This window comes from Homo sapiens, chromosome 9, assembly GCF_000001405.40.
Source record: "Homo sapiens chromosome 9, GRCh38.p14 Primary Assembly".
NCBI lineage: Eukaryota > Metazoa > Chordata > Mammalia > Primates > Hominidae > Homo > Homo sapiens.
In genome coordinates, this window is record NC_000009.12 from 11,460,079 (window position 1) to 11,473,114 (window position 13,036).

Consider the following 13,036-nt stretch of genomic DNA (forward strand, 5'->3'; position numbering starts at 1 on the left):
GCTTTCTGTTTAAAGGTCTTATAGAGTGTTCACTTAACAGTATAAAAATTATGATCTCAATACATATGTAACTATAGTTTTTCCATGATAATTTTTGTTCCATTTGTTTGTTTTATTTTATTTTTTTCTATACTAAATTAGGGCCCGAAAATTTTAAAGTACCCTCATGAATATATGGATATTTTATGACCACATTAATTACCATGACAGGAAAAGGCATATGAAAAAAACTTCTCTGCTCTAGCAGTCATTTTTAGTATCCTTTTTAGAAAACCAAATAGTTCATGAAAAGACTGCCTATATGTTCTGGTTTCAAGGCAGACTTACTTTGTTTGTTTGTTTTAATTTATAATATGGTACTTTGAAGGGCAAAGTAGCATCACATGTTTACCTATACACTTTCAATTAAAAATTTAGATATTTTCAGTATCTTCACCTCAACATTGGCACCATGTTGATTCCAAGGCTATCTAACCTATGAATAATATTGAGAATTTACTTCTAAAACTTACTAATAGATAGTTGTATACTTAGAAACAGAGCCAGCTTCATTTTCCTCAATCCCTTCTAATAGACACTAACACATTCTAAAGTGATATATAAGAAAACTGCTTTCTTATCTATTAGCTTTTTACCTAAATAAATGGTAAAAGTATTTCTTCAATTAGAATTGTCATTTAGAACTACAGTTTAGTTATACCATTATTATTATCAATCATTGTTGAATTTTTCACAAATTATCATCAACATCATCAGCAAACAAAACTAACAAAGAGACCAAAATAAATAAATGGACTTTTGTATGTGTGTGTAATCGATACTTGATGTACAACAATATATAATTTTCATACACAGAGACCCTATGTGGCTACTCAATCCCAGTCTTTTGCTTCATGTACATTTGCTACCTTACTCAACCCATTCCATAAAGGTGTTTATTATGATCCCTATTTAGGGATGAGACAACTGGGACTTATATATGTAAAATGACTTGCTCAAGGCCACTCACTTAACTATATAGGCTGGAATTGTTATCCTTACCTCAGTATCTTTGCAATCTTTTATACCTTGTATCCTACTGCTTTTAAACAACATTTAAATTTTATTTTAAAGAAAGAAGAAATATTTTTAAAAATTTGAGACATTTCAACGGGAAGTTCAGGGCATAGGATTGTAACTTCTGTACATATTTATGAAAGGTGCTATTTTGTCAATAATAGGTGTTCATTATCTTTAGTCAATGAAATGGCAGAGGGTGGGAGAAAAAAGATTTTGGTTGAAAGAAAACAATGAACAAAAAGCATGTTTGATCTACCATCGTATAGGATTTATCCAACAAGATAAAATTAGTCCCACCTAAAAAGTAATACAAAGTTTATAAAAATGTTTCTTGGCCGGGCGCAGTGGCTCACGCCTGTAATCCCAGTATTTTGGGAGGCTGAAGCGGGCTGATCTCGACGTCAGGAGATCGAGACCATCCTAGCTAACACGGTGAAACCCCGTCTCTACTAAAAATACAAAAAAATTAGCCGGGCATGGCGGCGGGCGCCTGTAGTCCCAGCTACTCGGGAGGCTGAGGCAGGAGAATGGCGTGAACTCGGGAGGCGGAGCTTGCAGTGACCCGAGATCGCACCACTGCACTCCAGCCTGGGCGACAGAGCAGGACTCCATCTCAAAAAAAAAAAAAAAAAAAAAGTCTCCCAATGCAGGAATAGGTCCAGAGCAAAGCAATGGGCAATAAACTTTGGTTAAGTGTTACTGTTATTATTATTAGTAGTAGTAGCAGTAATAAGGGAATAGCAAAAATAAAATGAAAGCAGTAAAAAATAAAATAAAATAAATCGATATTCTAGGAAGAAAATATTGAGGAATGAAAGAGTGAGTAACTGAGTTATCAGTGCAATTAGTATAACAACATTGAACTCATGCCTGTCATCCCAATTCTTTGGGAGGCCTAGGTGGGTGGATTGCTTGAGCCTACCAGCTGCAGACCAGTCAAGACAACATGATGAAACCCCATCTCTACAAAAATTAGCTAGGCATGGTGGTGTGTGCCTGTAGTCCCAGCTACTTGGGAGGCTAAGGTGGGAGGATCACTTGGGACTGGGAGATAAAGGCTGCAGTGAGCCCTGACTGCGCCATTGCACTCCACCATGTGTGACTGAGTGAAAACCTATCTCAAAAAAAAAAAAAAAAAAAAAAAGAAAGTGATTTGTTTAGAATAATTCCATGTGGACTATGACTTATGTTCACACTGAATGGCTGAAATGTAGTTGAGTCCTAAGAAATAGCATTAAAAACAAAATTATCTACTTTGTAACAATATAAATAGTATGCTAAATGAGTAAATAGATTGTATGTGAAAATAGATATAATTCTACTACATCAAATGTTACAGGCAAAATATTTATATTCTGTTAGTGAGTTTAGTTTTTCCAAAGTAATCCTTTATTATATTTATAGATTTGATGTAAAAGTTCCCCTTCAGTTAATGCTGCCAAATACAGGTATTAAAGCTATCACAAGTGCCTCAACAGGGAAAGCACTGAAGTCAGTCATTTAAGAATCTCCTACAAAATGGCACCTCAACTTGAAATATTCCTACTTGTATAAATAAAACTTCAGATTTTTTTATTTGTCTTTTAGAAAACAACATCATCTTGATTATTTACCTTTGCATAGTTATCTGTTTTTATGTTTTATAACTTTTTAAAATTAGAAATTCATTTTGCATAATTTTGTTAGTAGACATGCTAATTTGTCTGTAAGCCTCATTGATACAAGCAGAGTCACATGGCCATCTGAACCTCAAATGAGGCTTAAATATTTGTTACTTATTCTTTCTGACTCCTGAGGCATACATGGGCAAAGGAGAAAGGGGTTCGACACATCCTTTGGACATTTCAGTTTTTTTTAACATCAAACGAGACTCAAAAATTAAAAATTATCACATTCACAATTTATATATGAGTTAATTTCCTAATTATAATTTGAAGATTATACAACTGTTGTTTCATTAATTTTTCTAATCATTCAATAAGATGAAGGTGTGTTTGCTGTTCTTTTACTACAAACAGGGAGGAGGTTGTTACTTTAGACATAGTCATATAATGACACATTTATACTATCAAGGTTTATTAACAGTATACTTTGTCAGAGTTTAGAATAAATATTTTAATTGAAAAGTAGATTAATAGATGGAATTGTGTGCTTAAACTTTTTTGGAACAACCAGAGGATTGGAAGTAAGTGCAGCTAAAACTTGACAGTAGATTTCAAGAACTAACACTAACTACCATTGAGAGATAAGAAAGTTACTCTTGCTTTTTCTATAGCAAGAATTCCTCCAGTTATATTTCACACACAAAAAAGGGGTGGCTAATAAAAATAAAAATAACAAACATCATTTTGTATTTAAAATATATAATTTAAAAATAAAAATTGCATGTATTCAAGGTGTACAATAAAATGATTTGATGTATGTATACATTTTGTAAAGATTGCCACAATCGAAGTAATTACAAATTTATCACCACTTACAGTTATTTTATGTGTGTGAGAGTGGGGTAAAAGCACTTAAAAATCTGTTCTTTTATCAAATTCCAAATGAACAATACAGTATTATTAAATATATTAACTATGCTATACATTAAATCTCTAGAACTTATTCATCTCTTAACTGAACATTTGTACCCTTTGACCAAGATCTCTGCTCTTCATTTTCCCTACTCCAAAATCCCTGGCAACCATCATTTTACTCTCTGCTTCTATGGGTCAACTTCTTTGGTTTTCATTCCATGTGTAAGTGAGATGATAAAGTACCTGTCTTTCCATATTTGGCTTGTTTCCCTTAGTATAATGTCCTCTAGGCTCATCTATTTTGTTGCAAATGGTAGGATTTCCTTCTTTTTATGTGTGAATAATATTCATATGTGTGTGTGTGTTTTTGTGTGTGTGTTTGTGAGTACGTACGCACTATATTATCTTCATACATTCATCCATGGATTAACATTTAGGTTGTTTCCATATCTTGGTTATTGAGAATAATGCTGCAATAAACATGAGGGTGCAAATATCTCTCTGACATACTGATTTCATTTCCTTTAAATATATATCCAGAAGCGAGATTGCTGGATTATATGGTAGTTCTATTTTTATTTTTTTGAGTAGTCTCCATGCTGTTTTCCATAATGGTTGTACCAATTTACATTTCCATTAACAGTGTACAAGGGTTCCCTTTCCTTTACACTCTCGCTAACATTCATCATATTTTGATAATAGCCATCCTAATGGAAGTGAAGGGATAATTTACTGAGGCTTTGATTTGCATTTCTCTCATGATTATATTAAGTACTTTTTCATAGACTTGTTGGCCATTCATATGTCTTCACTGAAAAATGTCTATTTAGGTCCTTTGTCTATTTTTAAATCAGTTTATTTCTTTATTTGTTACTGAGTTGTGAGTACCTTATACATTTTGGATATTAGCCCCTCAGACCTATGATTTGCGATAGTTTCTCTCATTCCATAGGCTGTCTTTTTATTTTGTTATTTGTTTCCTTTGCTGTGCAGAAATCTTTTGAATTGATATAGTCTCATTTGTTTATTTTTGCTTATGTTGCCAGTGATTTGGGGTTATATTTTAAAAAATCATTGCAAAGACTCTTGTCAAGGAGCTTTTCTCTTATGTTTTCTTCTATGAGTTTTACAGTTTCAGTTCTCACATGTAAGCCTTTAAACCATTTGGAGTTATTGTCCGTATATGGTGAAGACAGGGGTCTGATTCCATTCTTTTGCATGTGGATATTCAGTTTCCTCAACAAAATTTATTAAAGAAACTATCCTTCCCCCATTGTGTATTCTTGCTGATTTCTATTCTGTTCCATTGGCCTATGTGTTCGTTTTTATATCAAGACCATACTGTTTTGATTACTGTAGCTTTGTAAAATAGCTTCAAATCAGGGACTCCAATGACTTCAGCTTTGTTCTACTTTCTTAAGATTGCTATGGCTCTTTGAGGTATTTTGTTGTTCTATAGGAATTTGGAGATTTTTTTTTCTATTTATCTGAATAATGGGATTGGAATTTTGATAATGGTTTTATTGAATCTGTAGATTGCTTTGGGTAATATGGACATTTTAACAATAATAATTATTTTAATCTATGAATTCAGGATATCTTTTTATTTACTTGTTTTTAACCAGTATGATGCTCTGTTGTTTGAACACTGGACTGTAGAATCTAGCTACATATACATCTCTATTACTTTACTCATTATCAGCAAGAGCAGCAAAAAGATGCCATATATGCTAATATCTCAAAATGTCAATATCTCAATATGTCAAAATGATTTTCATTGTTGAATCAGTATGCTAGTTGCAAGGTATCCTGAGAAATTCACCTTTTTTTCTGCTTTCTTACACCTGAGATACTGATAGTTGTGTTTAAGTGTTGGGTTGATGGTCATAACCTCGATTAAGCAAGGTCAGTTTCAAGATCTAGAAAAGTATTATTGATTTGGAAGTAAAAATGAATAAATGTTTTGTATACTTCCCAAGGAAACTCAAAATATATGACCAGGCCAAACCAAATTGGTAGTAAAATTATTTCTTAGTCATGTCTGGTTTCAATGGGAAGATAATAAAAAGGAAATCAGTATTCATTTTACCATAATACAAACAATTTATTAATGGTGGTTTTGTATTTATCTCTTTGGGATATCAAAGTATTATAAGCTTTTATTAAAATAACCTATCATTTAGGAAACTGATATTTTCCACACCCAAAATTTCCATTGCTAGAAAAATAAATGTCATACATTTTCAACTTAACTATTACAATGCATGCCTATTAATTCCTATAAATGATGTGGAAAGATCTCTTCAACTTTATCTGGTTGGATGACAAATGTTTGTTCTTCTGCCTTGATGTTTCAGCATTACTTTTGAATTATTAAAGAGAGATTCAGAACTCTCTAGACAACTAATGTAAAGCACCTCTCTAAAATCAGATAAAAATATAAAATTCTAAACATTACCCAAGCTTTTAGAAAATTTGATTAAAGGATTAGATCTGTCAGAATGCACTGTTGTACATTTTTCCTTTCAAGAAGTGAAAGAGAATAGATACATACAAAAGAAAATGTGATTAAAAGAGAAAGACAGAAATGCATTAATAGAAATGACTGATATCATTTCCCTATATAATTTTGAGAAATACAATTCTATTAGTCATGACTTTTTAATATTTTTTAAAGATTCTTATGTCCTTTGAGTATATGAAAGTTTCTAGGTATAATAATAATTAGCATCTACCTACATTCTTCAAAAAATCTTTAGGCATTCATCTAAAATTAAGTTATGTAAGAGTGTTATTAGGTAATGTTTATAAGTGCATGATGCTAAGGATATTGTGTCATTAATAGAGAATTAATGGTGTGTTATTAACAGAGAATTAACAAAGTCTGTGGAATCTAAATTCCAGATTTTTTTCCTTTTTATTATATCCTGAAGTGGTATAGATCCAGAATTGGTAATAAGTTCTGTTACACAAGACTTAGTGATTCCACTTAACATTTTCTTGATGTACATTGAGTAACTTCCCTCTAAATTATAAAAGAGAATTAATAAACTTTTATAAATATCATTGAAAATCTTGTTTTAATGTAGCTTTGAAGAAATTAATATTTTTATTATTAAAAATCATACTGTATTAGAAAGAAATATGCACAATTTTATGAAATAATACCTTCAGGCTAATATGTATATTTATATATCACCAAATGATTAATATATTTCTATACATATGTTTATACACACACATGGCTGATGATTCTAAGTCTGTGATAACTGAAGAACAGTTTGGATAATTTTCAGATACAATTGACTTTGAATACTTGTGATAACTTTAAAATGTTTCTATTATTACAATCAAATTTTAAAAATGTGTAAATACCCCAATTGTTTAAAATGTCTATTTTATATTTAAATAGCAAAGAGAAAGTGTAAGGAAAGCTTCTTGAGCTTTCACTTTGGTTGTGCTGCTCTGAAAGCTGTGGAGAATTCACTAAAAATTTTTGGGCATTAATATAATCTATAAAATCTATAAAATGAATGAATTTATGTAACTATTTGTAATGACTTTTTCCCTCAAAGATAAAGGAAAATCCATCTAGGTTTGGAAATCTCTAAGTCAAAAAAATTACTCTAATTAAGCTGTTTCTTGGTGTCATATCTGAAATAATCTTTCATGTAGTTAAGAAATTATTTAAAGATTGTGGCATAGTGTAGGTGGTTCTTCAAATTCAAGATTGTGGTTAGAATCTGTGCTTTGATACTATTAAAAACATAAACAAAACCCAAATCATTAACATTACTTCCCTTAGTTACTAAATATAATGATGTTATTTGGAAAGTCTCTAAAATTTTTCTGTTTTCTGTATTAACTTCTCACTGTACATAGGGGTGATTTATCATCACTCCTGAGAGATAATTGAGAAAACATTTAAGCTAATAAAATTTTTATTTTAACAGTGTACATTAAAACTCCATGTCGTATTGAATATCTAAGAATATTTTAACATTAAGTCAGTTTTTTATTGACTCCTGAACGTTTAAGCATTGTAGACTTTTACATCCAACTTCATAAAATTTATCTGTATTGAGTCCATAATCAACAAGTCAAGAATGCTTTTGGGTTAAAAGCCAAACATGCCCCTATTATGCCTCATGTTTTATTATTGTACCAATAATTAATGAATAAACAAAATGAATAAACTTTTTGTTTTAGAAATGTGTAAAACAGTTCAGATTAAGAGTACTATTCTTTTCCATATTGGTGTTTATTTCAGCCATCCAAAAAAGCCTACATTGATGTAATTCTTAGTTCAAAGGGTCAGGCATTATCTTAAATCAGTCTTTTAAGTTGATTTTTTATGTTGGAAGATGATTTTGGCAGAGTAGAGGCAATTGCTTTCCTCCTTCTATTTTCAAGTGTATTTTCTACCTAGTATATATTCACTTTAAAAAATGTGCTTAGGCCGAGCGTGGTAGCTCACACCTGTAATGCCAGCACTTTGGGAGGCTGAAGCGGGTAGATTACCTGAGGTCAGGAGTTCGAGGCCAGCCTGGCCAACATGGCGAAACAACGTCTCTACTAAAAATACAAAAAAAGTTAGCTGGGCATGGTGGTGGCCACCTGTAATCCCAGCTACTCAGGAGGCTGAGGCAGGAGAATCACTTGAACCCAGGAGGTGGAGGTGGCAGTGAGCTGAGATCACACCATTGCACTCCAGCCTGGGCGACAAGACCAAAACTACATCTTAAAAAAAAAAAAATGCTTAGCCAAATTCTGATTATTATACGAGAAGGCATTACTGATTAAACTTAACCTCTTGATGCCTGGTGTTGTATTACTTATTAGAGTAAATCATTTGCACAAGGTGTTCTCTGTCTCATTTAGAGCCACATTTACTATTTTTTTTCTTTTCCAACAAAGTGTTTAAAGGTTAGCCCTTAATAATTTTGCAATACAAAGCCATCAAATATTTTGGTTTTTCTTCTCACAAATAAAAAACAATTTGAGCAACAACATAAATTAAGTAGTGTTGGATTATAACCCAATGCATAAAATAAATAACTATGAATCCACACTGATATAAAAATGATAAGATTGATTTAAAAATGTAGGATAATAAACAAATATTCCATGGAGGATTTTAAATAATTCATGCAGATGTACTATACTCAAGAAGAGTAATCATAATTCACTGCTTCTTAAATGCAGGTTGTTCATGGTGATTTCCTTCAAAAGACTACATTATAGAAAGTGGAAAAAAAGGGAGCTTTTACAATGGAGAAATCTGAAAAGTACTATCTCAAGCCAAGTAATCAAAGTCAGTATCAATGATAAATTATGTTGATAGCATGTGACTTTAATATAATGTAATAAAATGGCGTTTTACTTCTATAATCTTCCTCCCCCAAATACATAATACCAGTTTATTCATGAGAAAAAAAATCAGATACAATTCAATAATGAGTTATTCTACAATACAACTGCCCAACATGTTTCAAAATTGTCAAGGTCATCAAAGACAAGGAAATCTGTGAAATTGTTACAGCCATGGGGTACCAAAGGAAATATAACTAATGAAGTGTAATATTGTAGATAAGATCTTGGGGAAAAAAAGGACATTAGGTAAAAACTAAGGAAATCTGGATAAAGTATAGACTTAAGCTAAAAATAATGTATCAATATTGGTTCATTAATTTTAGCAAATGTGCCATACTAAGGTAAGAGGGTAATAAGATGGGAAACCATGTTCCAGAGTATTTAGGAACCCTCTGTACTATCTACTCCATTTCTTTTTATCTTTCTCTATATATAGCTATTCTAAAATAAAGTCTATTAAAAACACATAAATGGCCCGAACCCACTGTATGAATTCGATTTGTAACTATGCAACTTCCCAGTAAGAAGTGTCCAGGTTCTGATGGCTTTACTGCTGAATTATGTCAAACTTATAAGAAAAAAAATACATAATTCACACAAAAACTATTTCAGGAAATAGAGAATGCATGAATAATTGCCACCTTATTTTATGAGACTAGTATACCTCTTGGCACCAAAAAAAAAAAAAAAGGACAAAAACATTATATAGGAAGAGAATTACAGATAATTATCCCTTCTGAACATAGATGCAAGAACCTATTGCAATATGTTAATCAAGTGCAGGAACATCAAATAAAATATATAAATATAATATCAAAGAGAATATATTGTGATTACGTTGAATTTATCACAGTAATGCAAGGTGTGTTAGCATGTGAAAATGAATACATATATTTCAGTGAATTAGCTGAGTGAGCAAAATACCATGCTGTATTTATTTCAAGAGATATTTTAAAAATCATTTTAACAAATGCAATTCCTGTTTATGACTTCAAAAGAACCTCAGCAACTTAGGAATGGAAGGAAACTTTCTCAAACTGATAAAGTGCATCTATGAAAACTATACATCTAATATCATATCTAATAATACAATGTTGAGTGCTTTTCACCACACATTGGGAATAAAATAAATATGCCCATTTTTCCATTTCTAGTTATTAATGTACTGGAAGTTTCAGTACAATCGGGAATGAAAAGTAAATAACACTATTCACAACAGTGAAGACACATAATCAACACAAATGCCCATCAATTATAGACTGGATAAAGAAAATGTGGTACCTATACACCATGGAATACTATGCAGCCATAAAAAAGAATGAGATCATGTCCTTTGCAGGAACATGGATGGAGCTGGAAGCCATTATCCTCAGCAAAGTTACCCAGGAACAGAAAACCAAACACAACGTCTTCTCACTTGTAAGTGGGAGCTGAATGATGAGAACACATGGGTACTTGGTGGCAAACTACACACACTGGGGCCTGCAGAGGAGGGGTTAGGGGAGGGACAGGATCAGGAAAAGTAGCTAATGCATGCTGAGCTTAATACCTAAATGATGGGATGACCTATGCAGCAAACCACCATGTCGTATGTTTACTTATGTAACAAACCTGCGCATCCTGCACATGTATCCCTGAACTTAGAAGTTGAAGAAAAAAAAAAAAAAGAAAAGTAATAATAGTCACATACTTTAGAAAGGAAAAGGCAAAACTATCTTTATTTATAGCGCCATAATTTTGTATGCAGAAAATCATAAAGGATCTTCAAACAACTAGTAAAGTTAATATTAAATTTAGAAATGTTGCAGGGTATAAAGTCATTAAAATTAATTTCATATATAACATCAACAAAATATTTAAAAATCTATAAGAATCCCTTTCAATAGAATTACAAAATATCAAATCCTTAGCAGTGTATGCCACATAAAATGTTCAAGATTTCTAACCTAAAAGCAACAAAACATTACAAAGAAAAATTAAACAAAAGTTGAATAAGTGGGGAGATGCATCACTGCTGGCGGTAGCAGCCTATCTGGAGTGGCAGCTGCAAAGATGCTGGCTGCAGCAGGGAGGTGTGATTGTGGCTGTACGCTCTGCAGGGCGGCAGAAGCCAGGAAAAGATGAAAGCTCCACCCCCTACTTAATAACTGGGGCAGGAGCCCCAAGGTTCTGTGCACAGCTGCAGCTGCCAGGGCAACTGGAACTGGGCATCCCTGCACTCTCAGGGGCCCAGGAATTCCCCTTTCGCTGCAGATTTGGAAGTGCTTGCTACTGCTGCCTGGCCTCTCCTAGCTCCCAGCGCCCACTCCAGGGCAGAGCAAAGCTGTGGCTGAGCTCACTTGCTGTTGTGAACCAGCCAGGTGTGCGCATGCTCAGGGGGGTATTGACTTACCAGCCCCCTGCCACCTTGACCCCTTCCGGACTTTGGGGACAAACAAGCATTGGAGGGAGGTTGAAGTGGGGCTGAGGGTGGTGCGGGATGGGCCTGCAGGTGCCCGTTGGCACAAACAGCCTGGGTGCTATGGACGACTTGGTGATGGTGGCAGGAGGCAGACAGACTCTTGTGCACAAAGGGTCAGGTCGCCAGTGAAACCGCACCTTCAAGCCAGGGAAGACACGAAGCCTGGGAACCAGCCTGCCAGTTCTGGGTGGAGTCTGTGGCCCAGAGTGAGAACATATGGTGCTTTCTCCAGGCGCACCCATGGCCCCCGTGGACTAATCAGAACGTACTTCCTCCCTTCTGAGCCCGTAAAAACCTGGGCTCAGCCAGACACACAGACTTTGGGACTACCAGCTTCAGGAAGAAGCTACTAATTTCAGGTCTCCTTGACTCGTGGGGACAATCTGCCTGCAGAAAGAAGCTACCCCCTGGTGGTCTCCTCTCAGCGGAGGGCTGGATGCTCACTGGGACAACCTGACTGTGGAAAGTAGCTACCCACTTCGTGCCTCTTGGGAGCTCCTCTGTGTCTCAAAGAAGCGCCTCTCCGCCTTGATCACCCTCCAGTCGTCCACATACCTCATTCTTCCTTGATACAGGGCAAGAACTCAGGACCTGCCGAATGGTGGTCCTGTATCACAGGCAAAGAGCTGTATCGCAAGCAAAGCTGAAACATCCCCCACCCCCCACTTACCATGATGACCATGTTGTGGGCAATGAGAAGGACAGAAGAACTGTGGCCCTTCAGGAAGCCCAGACCTAGGGGCTCCCCGATCCAGGGCTATGACACCCTCTTTGGGGCTCTGCGGTTCCTGGTGTCCCCAAGCTTCTAGGTGCCACTGCATTCCCCTGGTTGAAACACAGGCGCCCACAATGGAAGTTGCATGCAGTACATCTAGTCCAGCCACAGCCTTGCAAGGATCTGGCACATATACTGGCACCTGGAGCTGCCTACCCCATCCACAGCAGGTGGTGTGCCTAGCTGTGCACAGTGGCTGGACAGCATGCTCACTTGCCCATACAAACCTTGCCTCTCTGCACTTGGTTCGCTCCTGGCAGGTGTGGGATCTGGGCTGGTAGCACTTCTGAGTGCAGCCTGCTGGGCCAGGTGAGTGGAATGAGTCCAGTATGAGTGACCAATACTCAGACAGAAGGCACTGCCAGCCACAGAGGTTTCCAGCTGGCAAAGTGACACCCCAAGGATCTCATGACACCATATTGATGGACTAGATAATTCAATAGTTCTAATGGGTAAGTTTTTTCAAATTAACAAATAAAGTCAGTAGAATCTTATCATTGTTTTTTATAAAAATGTACAAATGTTAAAATTTATTTGAAAGGGCAAAGGACCATGAATTACCTAAGTAATCTTGCAAAAGAAAAAAATAAAGTTTGAGAACTAACCCTGCTTGACATAAAACACACTATAGTAATTAAGACAGACAGTGTAGTATTGGCAACATAATTGGTAAATAGCTCAATGTAAATGAATAGACTTTAGATACTAACCTGTATATGGATAAATAATTTTTGACAATTGTAGCAAAGCAATCAAATAGACAAAAAATTTTAATCAGTTTTTAAAATAAATTTTAGTGCTAGATTAGAAAGAAGGAGAAGGAAGAGGAGAAGGAGGAGGAGGAGGAGA

At 34.8% G+C, this 13,036-nt stretch overlaps 1 long non-coding RNA gene across 4 annotated transcripts in view, besides 2 other annotated features; it reads right to left on the reverse strand.

Annotated features, from left to right (window-relative positions):
• The window catches only part of LOC105375974 (uncharacterized), a 248,630-nt gene that overhangs the window by 206,110 nt on the left and 29,484 nt on the right, over nucleotides 1-13,036 (reverse strand). The window lies entirely within an intron of this gene.
• Nucleotides 10,835-11,336: an enhancer, noted in NCBI's record as "H3K4me1 hESC enhancer chr9:11470913-11471414 (GRCh37/hg19 assembly coordinates)". NCBI's record gives its function as "activates a minimal SCP1, AML or CMV promoter by ChIP-STARR-seq in primed H9 embryonic stem cells {active_cell/tissue: H9 hESC(primed)}" and the evidence as "EXISTENCE:reporter gene assay evidence [ECO:0000049][PMID:30033119]".
• Nucleotides 11,337-11,836: an enhancer, noted in NCBI's record as "H3K4me1 hESC enhancer chr9:11471415-11471914 (GRCh37/hg19 assembly coordinates)". NCBI's record gives its function as "activates a minimal SCP1, AML or CMV promoter by ChIP-STARR-seq in primed H9 embryonic stem cells {active_cell/tissue: H9 hESC(primed)}" and the evidence as "EXISTENCE:reporter gene assay evidence [ECO:0000049][PMID:30033119]".